Source organism: Homo sapiens, chromosome 5, assembly GCF_000001405.40.
Source record: "Homo sapiens chromosome 5, GRCh38.p14 Primary Assembly".
NCBI lineage: Eukaryota > Metazoa > Chordata > Mammalia > Primates > Hominidae > Homo > Homo sapiens.
The window spans coordinates 79,857,507-79,873,072 of NC_000005.10; the positions used below are offsets into that span (position 1 = coordinate 79,857,507).

At 41.4% G+C, this 15,566-nt stretch overlaps 1 long non-coding RNA gene across 1 annotated transcript in view; it reads left to right on the forward strand.

Annotated features, from left to right (window-relative positions):
- Positions 1 to 2,354: 2,354 nt before the first annotated feature.
- The window catches only part of LOC105379048 (uncharacterized), a 115,841-nt gene continuing 102,629 nt past the window's right edge, over positions 2,355 to 15,566 (forward strand). The window contains exon 1 of the long non-coding RNA XR_948500.3: positions 2,355 to 2,434. This is a non-coding gene — a long non-coding RNA (uncharacterized LOC105379048). The remainder of the gene's footprint in view (positions 2,435 to 15,566) is intronic.

The following is a 15,566-nucleotide window of genomic DNA, read 5'->3' on the forward strand; positions in this document are numbered from 1 at the left end:
GTAACAGAAGCAATGGATCACTGAATCACATCAACTCCACCCCAGCTGTCCCCTCCTCTCCATTCTTCTGCCATTTGCCTCTCCCAGGTCTTCATTAACTATACCAGTGGTTCTCAGGGTGGGTGTGGGGTGCTTGAACCAACCTTGATCATCCTGGGAGCTCCTTAAAACTCTCACCCACCCTAGCATCTGATTCAGGAGGTCTAGAGTGAGCCATGGGCATGTGTGTTTCCAGAAAATCTCATATAGGAGAGATTCTGAAATGTATCACACAACTTAGAATTACTAAGGTTCATAGGACTGAGTCCCGGAATTTGCCATGTTGTGGGAGAAGACGGGGTGGAATCATTTGCAGAAGCTAGGTGGGTGTAAGTGACTCAGGAAAGGAGGACAAGGAGGAGGTGGCTGTGCCAGCAGATACGGGAAGGAGCGGGGGCTCCTATTCTCACATTCAGCAGATACGCCTCTCCCAAGCATCACTAGGCCAATCCCCACCCTTCCCAGGCTGCCCTTTTTATAACTTTATTTCCCCTTCAGTATTTCCCTTGATGTTCACTTTAGCCTGTGGGCCACCAGCATCAACATGCAGGGTCACAAAATGTGATTTGCCAGTGAGCACACAACAGACTAAGAACTATCAAAGCTGAGCTGAGGATAATCATGATTTTCTGAAATATCATGGCCATTCTTCTGAAGGCAAGGAATAAAACTGGGGAGAAAACCCACCCCCACACACACGGAAACTTGACAATGAAAAGGCACTGGGTACCTTCAAAAGTTGCACGAGTTTGTGTGCAGCACTGCCCTCTGCTGGTCAGAATCAGACCTGCAGCTGTAAGGCAACAGCATCTGACTTCTGGATTTTACGGTAAAGAGGACAGGTTAGTTGGGCTTCCGAGTCATTGTAGGTCAAGTCACACACTATCATTAAGTCCACATGTGTGACTCTTCAGGTACAAACTGAGCCTGAAACTTTAGGCTTGGAGGTTTCCAGTTAACTATATTCAAATAAAGACGCAACTGCCTAGGAAAAACACGAAGTCCCTGAATAATTTCTTTGTAAAATATTTGGGTGTGCATGTAATGGATACAGTCACCTGGAGACAAGTTGCAGAGGTAGAAATCTTTCCTGGAGTCAATGAATGAATTTTTTAAAAGTCTGATAATTCTATGCTGTTAATAATCATGGCCAACATTTACTGAACATATATGGTTATTGGCATCTTCTGTGCATTACATCAACTAACTTTCCTAACAACCCAATAAGACAAGAACAATTATCATCTGTACTTATAGATGAGGTAACAGGTATAAAAGAGTCCAAGGCCACAAAATCTTGGCAGAGAAAGAGATTACACCCAGAACTTACTATACAGCCTCCTTGTTAAGGTCATACCAACTGCTTTATTACATAGACACCAAAATACGTAATTGCTCTAACATCATAGATGTTTTATTTTGTGCTTCTATAATGGTCCCAAGTAGGTGTTTCTTGTGACTGGGTGCCTCTCCTCCTCCAGGTGCTGCAATTCCGGGACTCAGATTCCTTCAGGCTTGTGGCTCCTCCACCATGATCTGGGTCTGGTTATTTTCATACACATCTAGCCACCCAGAAGAAGAGAAAAGAGCAAGGAGAAGGCACTCCTGCTTCTTAAAAAACAGCTGTGGCTCACAGGCCAATGGAAAGAACTATTCTTCTGGCCACACGTAGATGCAAAGGAGGCTGGGAAATGCTGTCTCTGGCTGGTCAGCCTCTTTCCAGCACCAGTGCCACATCATGAAAGGGGAGGCAGGGATTTTGGTGGTCAAGGGCCACCTCTGCCCTCTCTCTAGTAAATATGATGGATGGTTCACTGATTTAAGCCACACCTTTGGCCACTACCCCAGGTGAACACCACAGCGAGGTCCTGAGACTGGGTTCCTTTAGCAATAAATCCTTGGAAGGTGCCTTTCCTCTTGACAAAGCACTTTTACACCTTTACATTTAAATTATCCTATTTAATAATTTAATTATTCCATTTCATCCTCACAACTCCTGTGAGGTGGGTTAATTGCCTTTATTTCACAGCTAAGGAAAATGAGGCTAAGCCGTCGGGTGGTTGCCCAAATTCCTACAGCTGGGATTCAACCAGTTTATTCTCGTTGCCAGATCCTGGAAATAGTGGCAGCTGCTAAGCTTAAGTGGAGTTTGACCAAAAAGCTTTATGGTAGAGAGAGAGAAGTGGGCAGAGCTGTGAGCAGAAACAGGCACTCACAAATTCGTGGCCTGAAACGACACTGCTCATTAAACCTTGTGACTTTTGGTCCAGTCTCTGCCAGAAATTCTAAAGTTGGAAAAAGTTGAGAGAGAAGGGAGGAGTGACAACTGCAGGCTGCTGGAGAAACAGCAAGGTTCTCAGAATTTTTCTTCTACCTTGATCAAATGTCACAGAAGGTATAGAACCATGACTTACATTTCACAATTTAATGATTTACATTGCAGATTTCATTTACCTTGGACGATCCTATCATGTTCTTTGTCGTTGTGGATTTTTCCTTCTGGAAACTTGTGAGGGGACTTCATTTCCCTCCCATACGCCCCCTCACCACTTTTAGTCTTATCAGAGTCTCTGATAACAGTCTAGTAATGAGGGACTATCGTTACTTTTATTCTCACCAAGCTTTCATTCTGGGCTAGTTTAAACATTTCAAGTTTTATTTTATATTTTTATTGTGCAATGTTTAAAATACACAATAAATTTAAAGTGTTAGCATTTTCCTAATATCTTTATGTTGATTTCTAAATTAATTCAGTTATGTTTACAGAATATACTTTCTTTGCTTTCAATTATTTTACGTTTGCTAAGGTTTATTTACAGCACAGAATGTGGTCTATCTTGTGTACTTGAAAAGAATGTGCATTTGTTAGGTGAAGTGTTCTGTATAAAAATCATTTGGGGCCAGGTGCAGTGGCTCATGCCTGTAATCCTGGCACTTTGGGAGGCCGAGGGGGGCGGATCACCTAAGGTCAGGATTCAAGACCAGCCTGGTGAAACCCCATCTCTACTAAAAATACAAAAGATTTGCCAGGCTTGATGGCAGGTGCCTGTAATCCCAGCTACTCAGGAGGCTGAGGCAGGAGAATCGCTTGAACCTGGGAGGCAGAGGTTGCAGTGAGCTGAGATCACGCCACTGCACTTCAGCTTGGGCAACAAGAGCGAAACTCCATCTCAAAAACAAAAAAATTACTTGGGTAAAGTTGGTTGATAGTGTTGTTCGTGTCTTCTATAACCTTGCTGATTTTATGTCTACTTTTTCTATTGATTACCAAGGGAAGAGTGTTAACATCTCCAACTATAATTATGGATTTGTCTGTTTCTCCTTTCAGTTCTTCTAGTTTTTGCTTCATATATTTTGAAATATTGTTGTTAGGTGAATATGCATTTAAGATTATGTCTTCTTGGCAAATTGAACCCTTTATTATTATGAAATGTCCCTCTTTATCTCTGAAATCTGCTTTGATAATAACATAGCCACTCCAGTATGGTACATTTTTCTCCATCTTTTTACTTTTAACCTATCTGAATAAATACAGAATATATTTAAAGATATATCTTGTATCCTGTTTTCACCTCTAATTTTTGTTCTTCTGTTTTCTATTTCATACCTTATTTTGGATTATTTGAACATTTAATATTATTTAATGTTTGTTTGAATAATTAGCATTCCATCTCAATTTAGCTACTGGCTTCCTGGCTATATCTTTGTTTGTTTTTAAAAATTTTATAGGTGCTCTAGGGGTTACCGTATACATACCTAAAGTTCCACATTCTACTTACAGGTAGTATTTTCCCACTTCAACTAAAGTATAGACTCTTCCAATCATATTGGTTCCTTTACATTTACATACATTGAAATCTCCACTATATAATTTAATGATTTTTGCTTTCAGTAGTCATACACAATTTAAGTAACTGAAGAGGAGGGAAATAGTATTTATTGACACAGATATTTACTATACTGCTGTTGCTTTTTCTTCATTTCCTAATTTCCAGGTTTTCCTCTGATATCGTCTATCTTCAGCCTGAAGAACATCCTTTAGCATTTTTTTTTTTTAGGGCATACCTGCCAGCAATCGATTCCTTTGGTTTTCCTCCATGATAACAGACCCCATGGGGATTATTAATTTCTAATTTAATTAGGTTACAGAGTATATTAAGTATAATTTCAATCCTATTAAATGTATTCAGACTTGTTTTATGGCCAATGCAATTGTCTATCCTTGTGAATATTTATGTCCATTTGAAAAGAAGGCATTATTCTGCTGGTTTGGGGTGTCATGTTCTACAAATATTATTTAGACCAACTGTGGTTCATATCTTCTATATCGCTACTGATTTCTTTTTGCATCAATTACTAAGACAGAAGTATTAACATTTTATATTTCTTCTTTCAGTTTTGTTTGTGCTTTACATGAAGTTTTTGAAGTTCTGTTTTTGGATGTACACTCATGTAGTCTTATGCCTTCTTGATGTATTATTATGTATTGCTATGAAATGTTTCTTTCATCTTTGACAATAATCGTTGTCTTGAAATCCATTTCATTTGACATAAATATAGCCATTTCCATTTTCCTATTATTTTTTATCTAGTATATCTTTTTCTATTCCAGCATTTAACTTTTCTGAATTTTTGTATTTAAAGTGGGAAAGTAGATTTTTTTGCAGATAACACTTGTTGGGTCTCACTGTTTTATCTAGTTTGACAATCTCTGCCTTTTAATTTGAGTGTTTGACCATTTGTATTTAATGCAACTATTAATATAGTTGGGTTCAAATATGCTATTTGTTTTCTATCTGTCTCAATTGATCTTTGTTCCTTCATCTTTTCCTACCCTCTTTTGGATTTATTGAGTATTTTTAATATTCTATCTGCTGTTGGCTTATTGGCCATAGCTCATTTTAAAAACTATTTTCATAGGGTCATTCTACAGTTTACAATATGAATCTTGAACTTATCACAACTTATTTTCAAATAATATTATACCACTTGACAGCAGCATATTTCTACTTCTCCCTTCCAGTCTTCTGTATTATCATCGTCATACAGTTTATTTCTGCATATGTTGTAAGGCCCATATACACTGTTATTAACAATTAAATGTCTTTTAAAATAAGTTTAAAAATTAGAAATAAGTATTTTATATTTAATCACATATTTATCATTTCTGTTTTTCCTTATTCCTTTTGCAGATCCAAATTTCTATCTGATATTATTTCTTTCAGCTTGAAAAATATCCTCTTTTATTTCTTTTAGTGCAGGTCTGCTGGCAATGAATGCACTCAGCTTTTGTTTGCCTAAAATGTTTTTAATTTTTGTCTTTATTTTTGAGGGATTTTTTTGGGATACAAATTCTCGACTAATAGTTTTTTTTCTTTCAGCACTTTAAAGATGTCATTTAATTTTCTTTTGGCTTTCATTGTTTCTAATGAGAAGTTAGTCAAATTTTCAGCTTTGTTCATATATATAGTGTGTGCATGTGTGTGTTTTCTGGCTGCCTTTGAGGTTTCATCTTTGTTACTGATTTCCAGCCATTTGATTATAATGCATTTTAGTGTGTTTGTCTTTATCTCACTTCAGTTTTGCTGAACTTCTTGAAACTGTGGGTGTATCTTTTCATCAAATTTGGAAAAATTTTGGTCATTATTTCTTCAAATGTTATTTCTTAATTCCCCCAGCCCACCCTTACCTTTCCTGAGACTCCATTTGCACATATTATCCCACAAGTCACTGAGGCTGTGTTTATTTTTTAAGGCTTATTTTTTTCTCTATGCTTTAGTCTGGATAGTTTCAATTGTTATGCCTAAAGTTCACTGTTCTTGTTTTCTGTAATGTCTAGTCCTCCTTAAGCCAACCAACAAATTTTTCATTTCAGACAACCCATTCCTTGGCCCAGTATCATTTTCCCTTAATGATTTTAAATTTTATTCTTATCAGATACTAAATTTTCATAGGTGTTTGTGTTTAATTTGCTTTTTATTCTGTTTCATTAATCTATTTGTGTATTTATGCTCTAGAACCGCATTAATTTTTATTATTATAGATTAATATATGTCAATATCTGGAAGGGTTAGTTCTCCCTTAATACTTCTGCTTTTCAGTCTATTCTTGTTTATTTTTTCAAATGAAGTTTAAAGTTGGTATGTAATTAAATGAAAATTCTGTTGATGTTTTAAAAATTGTACATATATATTACCTTAGGGGTAATTAGCATTTTTCTTATGTCAGAGCTAAATATGCAAAAACAGGGTTAGTCTTTACAATTTTTTCAAGTTTTTTGCATCCCTAAGTGGCATTTTAAAGTTTTCTTCATATAGATCTTAAATATTTCTTTGTTTATTACTAAATATTTTGTGTTTTTGTTGTTGCAGCTATTATAAATGAGGTCTCCTTGTTATTATATGTTCTCAGGGGTTATTGCTTTTATATAGGAAGACTATTGATTTCTCTAGTCTCAACCACTTAATGTGTTCCATCATTGTTTCCCAGTCATTGCTTACTATATTTTTCAGGTGTATATAATATACCAAAATGGTGCTTTCTTGAATTTGCATATTCTTTTTCATAATGTCCTAATATTGCTTTTGTATGTTTTATTTTTCCTTTCTTTTTGAATATCTTAAACATACCCATTTAAAAACCTTTTCATATTGTTCCATTGCTGTAATTTATAGGGTGTAAATTTTCCCAACTATTTCATCTGTTGACGGTATTTTAAGATAATTCCTTTTTTCATGGAATTAGAGATATTTTACCATGAGCTCATCTTCAGGAGAAATAGTTTCCTGCTGTGTCCCATGAGGCTGTACTGTGCAGGCATATGTGTCATTTGGTTCATTATTTGCCTTTGCTGCGTTCATTCTTAGATAATTTTTATGTTTACTTTTTAATTGTAACTTCCTTTAGTTATGGTTTGGAGGAATTCTGACTAACACCCACACAGGGTGCAATTTTGGAAGTTTGATTTTTGGAGGTCTACTCTTTCACCACCCACAATGTTGGACAGATGGTCAACTTCCTGATGCATCCTTAGACCAGTGGGCAGAGTTCTTCTAGTCCTTATTTCCGGAAGGAAGATTACTTTCTGGCTTTTAGCTTTATTCAAAGAGGTCCGTTCAGCTTCTTATCACCTGCAGGCCTGAGGCCTAATCCTCTGCTCCTGTGGGTTTTAAAACCTATGCTAGCACCGGTTTCTGATATCCCTATGGACCATTTGCTTTTAACACCTGCTCAATTTTATGAGTTTGCGTTTCTACTTCCTTTTTGGACCTAGGAGTTTTTCTTACTTAGTTTAGAATTTGGCTATGAAATGGCAACGATAACAACGACAAAAGTAACATTTTTTTGTTGTTATAGTTTACCCAGCTTTTATATGGGTTTGCAGCATAATGGGAACTTCCCACATCAGTTCAACCTGTGCCATTGACCAGGATTTCCTGATGGCCCCTTAAGTGATTCTGACACATGCTCTTTCCTGACATAGACAGGAATACTTAACTTCAGACTATCTTGGACCTCAGCAAGTAAAATATTCCAGTTGTTTCTATACATTCGGTCACTTAGCAACTTTTTCCATGCCCTCCTTTCTACTCTTTTAAATACAAACATTTGTTGAGCATCTATTTTTTGCAAGGAACTGAGCTTGTTATCTGGCATAGAAAACTTAATGAAGTGAGATCCCTTCCTTGTAAGAAAGACATCACTTTCTATGGCACAGAGCCAGGGGCCAACTTTTGTGCACTATAGTAAGTACCTGAAATAGAGTTAGGAGCAATGCATTTACAGGGAAATGTTGCTTAAAGGTTGTTTGTTTCTGTGTTTTGGTTTTCTGTTTTGGTTTTGAGACAGGGTCTCACTCTGTTACGCAGACTGCAGTACAGTGGTGTGATCTCGGCTCACAGAAACCTCTGCCTCCGAGGCTCCATGCGATCCTCCCACCTCAACCTGGGACTACAGGCGTGCACCACCACCCCTGGCTAATTTCTGTATTTCTAGTAGAGACGGGGTTTCACCATGTTGCCCAGGCTAATCTTGACCTCATGGCCTCAAGTGATCAACCCACCTCGGCCTCCCAAAGTGCTGAGATTACGAGTGTGAGCCTCTGCACCTGGCCTGTTGCTTGAAGATTTTGTGTATGAATGTGAAACAGATATGACCATGTGTTTGTCTTCTTTTGCATATCCTGGGAATAATGAGTAAGAGTGGGAAAGCAGCCCACAGGGAGTAGGAGAGAGAACATTGCAGAGAATTAGGGCCCTTGGCTACTAGTTCTTGTTGCTAACCAGTCCAGGGACTCTCAACCCCAGCTGCCCTTCAGACCCCACCCACCTGAGGTCCTGACTCAGCTGTTCTGAAGTGGGCTCCAAACATCTACATATTTAGATTTGGATGTTTCTGTAGGTGATTTTAATGTACAGTTAGGACTGAAAACCACTCACCTAATTAGATGACTTTGGGTAAATTATTTTAATCTTTATTCCTTCTGTGCCTTAGTGTCCTCAAGTATCAAATGAAGCAGGTAATTTCCAGATCCAGAAATCCACTCTAACACGTAATAGTTGCCCAAGAGGGGGCTATTTTTGTGACATTTGTTATTATTGTTTTTGTTATTAATACTATTACATAATCTCACTGATTTTTAGAAGCTTAGTCTTTTTACTGACAGAAAAGTATCAGTAAACTCAAATGGCAAGCAGACTAGTTTTTCTATCATCCAATGTTATAATTTGGTTTCCAGAAATTATTAGGTAATGGTAATTGATATAACAGCTTTGCCCATTAGATCACCTGCCTTTACACACTGTACTATAAAATAATGGACTGAGTTTTATGACTTGTGGAATCCACCGTATTGATTTATAGTCACAGCTCAGGGCTGTGTGTGGGTAGGCACAAAAGTGTGAACACTAATTGTTAGTGAACCCATTTGGAGGACTACAGAGAGGTGCTCAGAGGCCAGGGTTCCAAATGTTTCTCATTAATTATCTTCAAAACAAACTCTCAGCGTAAGAGCCCCAATTAGGGAGCAACACATGGTTTAGAAAGCCCTGGTGGTAAATTTCCTGATGTACTGGATTTCATTTTGGGAATTAGTGTAGTGCAATGGAAAAAATGTGAACTCTGGAGCCAGCCAGACTGGGTTCAAATTCTGGCCTTACCACTTACCAGCTTTATGACCCTGAGCAAGTTACTCTGCCACTTTGCACCTCAGTTTCCTCATCTGATATATGGAGATGATGATAATGGTACCTACCTCACAAAGCTATTGTGGATGAAATCAGTTAATTCATGCAGAGTACTTAGAACAGTGCCTGGAACATGCAAACATTCAAGAAGTCTCAGATGCAACTTTTGTACCAAGACAAAGATCTAATCCATAGGAACAAATAATAAAGAAAATTGAGGCAAATGTCAGGGTGGTTGTGATGGTATTTGGGGGGTGGGTTGGCCTTGACTGAAGTCCTTACCTGGCACGGGCTAATCCTTCTACATGGAAAGCCAACGTTGCCTGGGCACAAGCCCGCTCCTGAGTGGCCAGACTGATGAGGACGGAGGATCCTGCAGATGAAATATTGTTGGATCAGGCACCGGATGGCTCATTCCCTCCATCTTTCTTTTTGGTCTCTCCCTCACTTCTTTTTTGTCCTCCTCTCTCCCCCTCCTCTTTCTTCACGCTAAGCCAGGCCTTTGCCACATCAGCCTCACCAATAGGACCCTCAGGGATTGCGGTCCCATAAGCAAGTCTAACTTGAGTCCTTGGCCCAGTTCCTGGCGCTTCATTTTAGCTTCTCCCATCCCAAGTGGGGCTCTTGTGGCCCATTCTTCTCCTTCTTCCCAAGAGATGGCTCAGCTGCCTGCAGATGAGCCTCCTGGGTCCCAAATAGAAGAGAGTCTTGCTGACTGGGAAGGGGTGGGTGGCTGCTCGGGCTTGCTCTTTCCCTGGCAAAGCCTTTTCTCATACACACATTTTGCTCAGGGCAGTTTTTGGAACACAGACATGCCAAGCCGACCTCACCTCTTGTTAACTGGGACTGAGGAGTCAAGTCCGTTTTGGTCTTAATTAAAAGAACATGAGGATCAGGGTCAACTGTGCAGAAGAATCAGGAGCAAAGTAAAGAGATTAAAGCCATGCTTTGTTCTCATCAGAAAGTTTGATGTTTTGAGAATATTGAGTTGTTATTGAGTCCTCCGCAGTATCTCTCAGGAGGAGAACAAAATTGGCCCATAGAAGGCAAACTGACTGATCCCACCCCTTTCACAAATTCTTCTTAGCAACTTGTTTTCATGAAATTGAGAAGCAGTATGATGTTGTATAAAGAGCAGCGACTCTCATTCTTCACTTTAATAATTTTTGTGGACCTCTGAAAATGCGAGCTTCGCTACTCTCCCATAGCCCTACTTTGGTATCCACATTTCAACCAGATTAGTTTCCTGGGGCTGCTGCAACAAAGTATGACTGACTGGGTGACTTAGAACAACAGAAATGTAAGGTCTCACAGTTCTGGAGACTGGAAGTCCAGGACCAAGGTGTCGGGAGGACCGTGCTGCCTCTGAAGGTGCTAGGGAAGGATCTGTTCCAGGGCTCTCTCTGGGATTCAGGTAGTTCCTTGGCCCTTGGCAGCATAACTCCAATCTCCACGTGGTGTGCCCCTCATATGCCTGTCTGTGGCCAAATTTCTCCTTTCCATAAGGACACCAGTCATATTGAATTAGGGGCCCACCCTACTCTAGTGTGACTCCATCTTAGCTAACTACATCTGCAACCCTCTTTCCAAATAAGGTCATATGCTGAGATACTGAAAGTTGGGACTTCAACATATGAATTTTGGGAGGATACAATTCAACCCTTAACAGCTAGAGCTATGCCCCACAGACCGGATTCCACAAAACCATTGCAATCTGCTTTGCACCACCCACTCCACAGCTTGACAGTCAAGTGCTCAGAGGCTGCATGTTTGATTGAAGCACGCTGATGCTGGTTCTCCATGTCCTGGAAACGAGGCTGGAGACAGGGCCAGGGGCTAAATCATACAGAGCCCTGAAGGCCATGGGCGTTGTGTACTTTATCCTAAGAGCAGTGGGCTGTCTTTGATGCTTACAAACAGAAGGCTGATCAGACTCTAGAAAGAGCCTTCCAACTTTAGTGTTGAGAATGGAATAAAGTTGGGGCAAGGCAATTCTTCAAGCAAGTGACAAGCTGGCCTGAACCTCAATGGTGGCAATGGGAATGCGGGGAAGATGACTTGGAGAAATAGCTGTGATGTATCAGGGTGCCTAGAGAAAAACAACCTAAAGTGTGTGTTATTTTAGCAAAGGCACTGCCATTTGGGGACCGTTGGCAAAAGGAACTTGTCATTTGGGTTTCTGGATATGGACACTTTAATGTTGGCACAGATTCCCTTGTTTTCAAGGAAGTTACCAAGATAAACCCTCTAGTCAAGCCAAAGTAAAGCAAGTTGATTTGGGGAAGATGTCATACCTGAGTGTGGCAACTGCAGAGTGTGATGTTAAATGTTGAAGAACTGGTGAAAAGTTTTCCTGAAGTGACTACTTAGACTGAATTATTCGTATCCCCCATGTATTAGGTGCCTATTTGCTGCTGCAACAAACTACCACAAACTTAGTGGCTTAAATCAACACAAATGTATTATTTCCCAGCACTGTAGGTCAGAAGTCTGACTTGGTTCTTGCAAGACCACAGTCAAGGTGTCAGCAGGGATGCAGTCCTTTCTGGAGCTGTAAGACTCTTTCCTCTGTTCTAAGGCCACCCACATTCCTTGGCTCATGGCTCCTCTCCGTCTTCAATGCCAGCAGCACATTATGTCTCTGGCTCTGCTTCCACTGTCTTTTTCTAACTCTGTCTTCTGCTTTCTACTTTTTTTTTTTTAACGGAATCTCGCTCTGTCACCCAGGCTGGAGTGCAGTGGTGTGATCTCAGCTCACCACACCTTCCACCTCCCAGGTTCAAGCAATTCTCCTGCCTCAGCCTCCCGAGTAGCTGGAATTACAGGCGTGCACCACCACACCCAGCTAATTTTTGTATTTTTAGTAGAGATGGGGTTTCACCATGTTGGTCAGGCTGGTGTCGAAATCCTGACCTCAGGTGATCCGCCTGCCTTGGCCTCCCAAAGTGCTGGGATTACAGGTGTGAGCCATGGCGCTTGACGCCTCTTCTACTTTTAAGGACCTTTGTGGTCAGATTGGGCCCACCTGGATAGTCCAGGGTACTCTTCCCATCGCAAGGTCAGCTAACTAGCAAGCTTAATTTCACCTGAAAACTTAAATCCTGTTTGCCACATAGCCTAATGTATCCACAGGCTCTGGGGATTAGGATGTGTATATCTTTGGAGACCATTATTCTGCCTCCACAGCCCACATGATGTTGATATTAGTATAATGTGGGAAGTGCAAGGTCACATAGTGTCGTTGTCTTATCTGGGCCCTGGTGAATCAGAGAGAGGGTTGCTCTTGAAAGACTTGGGGGTTTTCAGGGCCAGTTTTCCTGGGGCAGCATGAGCAGGCCTTAGGCCAGGAGACAGGGGCAATGCTTCCTGCTTTCTGGTGTAAAGGGGATGGGGGTATAGACCCAGGGTTGGTTTGGTCTATTCGAAGGATTCTTGCTGAGATGGGACAGCTTGAGAGGAGCTAGATGTGGTCCTGAGGCTGGGGTTTTAGGGCCTGCGGGCTCCAGGAAGAACATAGTGAGCCACTTCTGTTATGCCCCAAATATTCAGGAAGCATCACCATCTGCTCTGGGCTGGGGAATTAAGTTTCCAGAATCAATGATGGGGTGGGGCTGGGGGTCACGTCCCCACTTGCAGTGAATCTGTATGGGAAAAGCACATCCTGGAGAAAGGAGTTACAAGGGGATGCATGATGAAATCCCTCGGAGATGCCCAGACATGGTGGAGGGAGACCTGGGCGGCTGACAGCTATTCTGCTAGTCCCAGGCAGATGGGGGGTTGAACATTAAAAGAGATGAAACTTTATGTTAGGCTACGAGAGCAGACATCCAGGTTTCAGTGTGGGGAGATGCCCCAGGACTTAAAGATGAAGGGGCTGTGGGAAATGATGGCGGAGGAGAGGTCCAGGTCTAGGTCTTCAGGGGAAATGGAATCTCCCTACCTTTCCTGCTCGAGAGGGTGCTCAGCTGTAGGGAGGGGGTGCTCTTCTTCTTTTGGGGCTTTATTGTCAAAACAGAGGAGTGGTCTTCCTGCACGACCCAGGGAAAGTGCCTTTTTAATGAAGGACTTCTGTCCTTGGGGTCTTCTCACCTTCCCTTTGTTCCATCTTCTCGCCTCCTTGGCCTTTTTCTCTCACTTGCTATCTTTGTTCTTATTTAGAGGAAAGGTTTGGGTAAGACTATTCATTTCATAGGATATTTTCTGCTTAATCTTTTTTTTAGAAAATGGTAAAGTCTTCATTTCAGACACCTAGCCCATGCTTGTCCATAGAATTACATGTTCCTATTGGAGGGGCTTTGTCCAACATGCATCCCCTGGAAGAGACCCACTGGCCTTCTCATAACAACAGAAGAGAGACAGTAATGGGCTCCATGACAGACAGCTTCTCACTTCCGTCATTCCAACTGGTTCTGGGAGTAGGGAGAGCTTATACCAGCTGCTTCATGCAGGCTCCAAAGGGCATTTTGTTTTAGCAGTGCCCTTTTCCTTAGGAATTGTCGCGTTCTGCCTCTCCCTCTCATTCATTCACTCAGCTACGTGCTGAGTCTCCACCAAGGAGAAATGACTAGAGGCAAGCGCTGCTCTCAGGAAACGGAGTTACACTGTGAGGCAGTTTGTGAGTGGATCCCAGGCTTAGCAAGACCCACTGGAAATTCTCTCAGGGTTCAGAGAGGATAGAAGAGATGAGGGCTTGAGTAGATGAGAAGAGAAAACTCTTTGAAGTCAGCCCTTGAAAGATTGGTTCAGCAGAGAGCAGGGGCTAGGACATTGCAGATGAAGCAGGGAGACAGCATAAGGGATATCATAAATATACATGGGATACGGTATATGTGTGTATGCATGCATGCATAATAGTTATATGTGTAAATAGTGCAAAATCCAGAAAGTTAAAAAGATATGTATTCTGGCTCCTTGTTCCTCCTCACCCAGTTCCCCTCCCTAGAGGCAGCGTTTATGTTTAAAAATATTTAACAAAGACAGAGTATCGCTCCGCATCCCCAACTCATGGCTGGATGGCTGAACCGTTTTCTAAGAGTGGAAGTATCAAACATGCATGTTTTCATTGTTTTATCCGCAGTGCATTCTGTGACCACTCTCCACAACCAAGTCCTCACAAAAAATACTTCATGCACCATTTTGGGGACCAAGTTCCTGCCCCAAGATGCAGAAAAATTGAGAGGCCTATATAATGTTAGCCACCCCTGCCTCCTCCCAGGAATCCACAGAAATCTCCGGAGGACTCTGGGCTCCTGCAGGTCATGAGTTGTGGGTCTGAGCCAAGAGCATGGAGATCTAAGAGATCTAAGGGACCGGGAGGCCCCAGGGGCATGTGCACTGCACATTAAATGGAAAAGGTTGACCCATTTGGAGACCAGGGCAGCTTACAGCCAAGGAAGGGCTGCCTCTGCCCCCAAGGGGATGTGTAAAGGGGGTGCCCAGGGACACACAGGAGCAGCCCTCATGGAGGGCACTAACAGAATCAGGGTTCACAGGCTGCAGGAAGACAACTGAGAACACACAGATGGACTCTGGCTCTTCCCAGATGAGTTTCCTGACCAGAAGAGAACTCCCGCATAGAAAGGTTATGTGGGAAACACTCTGGTTTTTCTTCTCCTGCTGTGAAATCAATTAAAAACAGGATGGATATAAAATGGTTTTATAACCTCCTCCACCTCTGGCTTCCTTTCTTCTTGGGGATGAGCCAGGCAGAGTGGGGAGAGACAGGAGTCTCACGGTCTGCAAATTCTGCAGCAGTTTAAATGATAGTGACCTATTGCTTCAGCTCTCCTCAGGGGACCTGGGGCTGGAGGAGAAAATGTCTCCTTGGAAAGTGGCCAAAGGAAGGAGAGCCCCATAGAGGGAGTGAGGGTAGGTAGGGCCCAACCCTTCCAAGTTCTGGGTCAGTCTTAGGTTCAGAACGCATCTAACCTGGGGAAATGAGACAGCCAGTTTTGGAAGAGAGTTTATTTCCCACAGAACAATTCAAATGGCTTGTTAGCCTCGCGCACACTTGCTTGATATGACCCAACATGAATAATTTTCATTCCTGTTTTGATTTACAAAAAATGATAGTACATAACTTTTTTTGAGTACTACTCTGTGCCAGGAACATACTCAGATACCTTTCTTACGTTAACTGTAATTCTTATAACACTACTGAAAGTTAAGTACTATTTTCTCCTGTTAAAAATAAGGAAAATGAGGCTCAATGAGGCTAAGTAAACTTCTCAAGATCAGAGAGCTAGTAAGCGGCAAAACCAGCATCCAAACACAAGTTTGTTAAAATAATAATAGTTCTGACTTATTGAACTCTTCTGTGGGCTAGATATTTGACATACATTA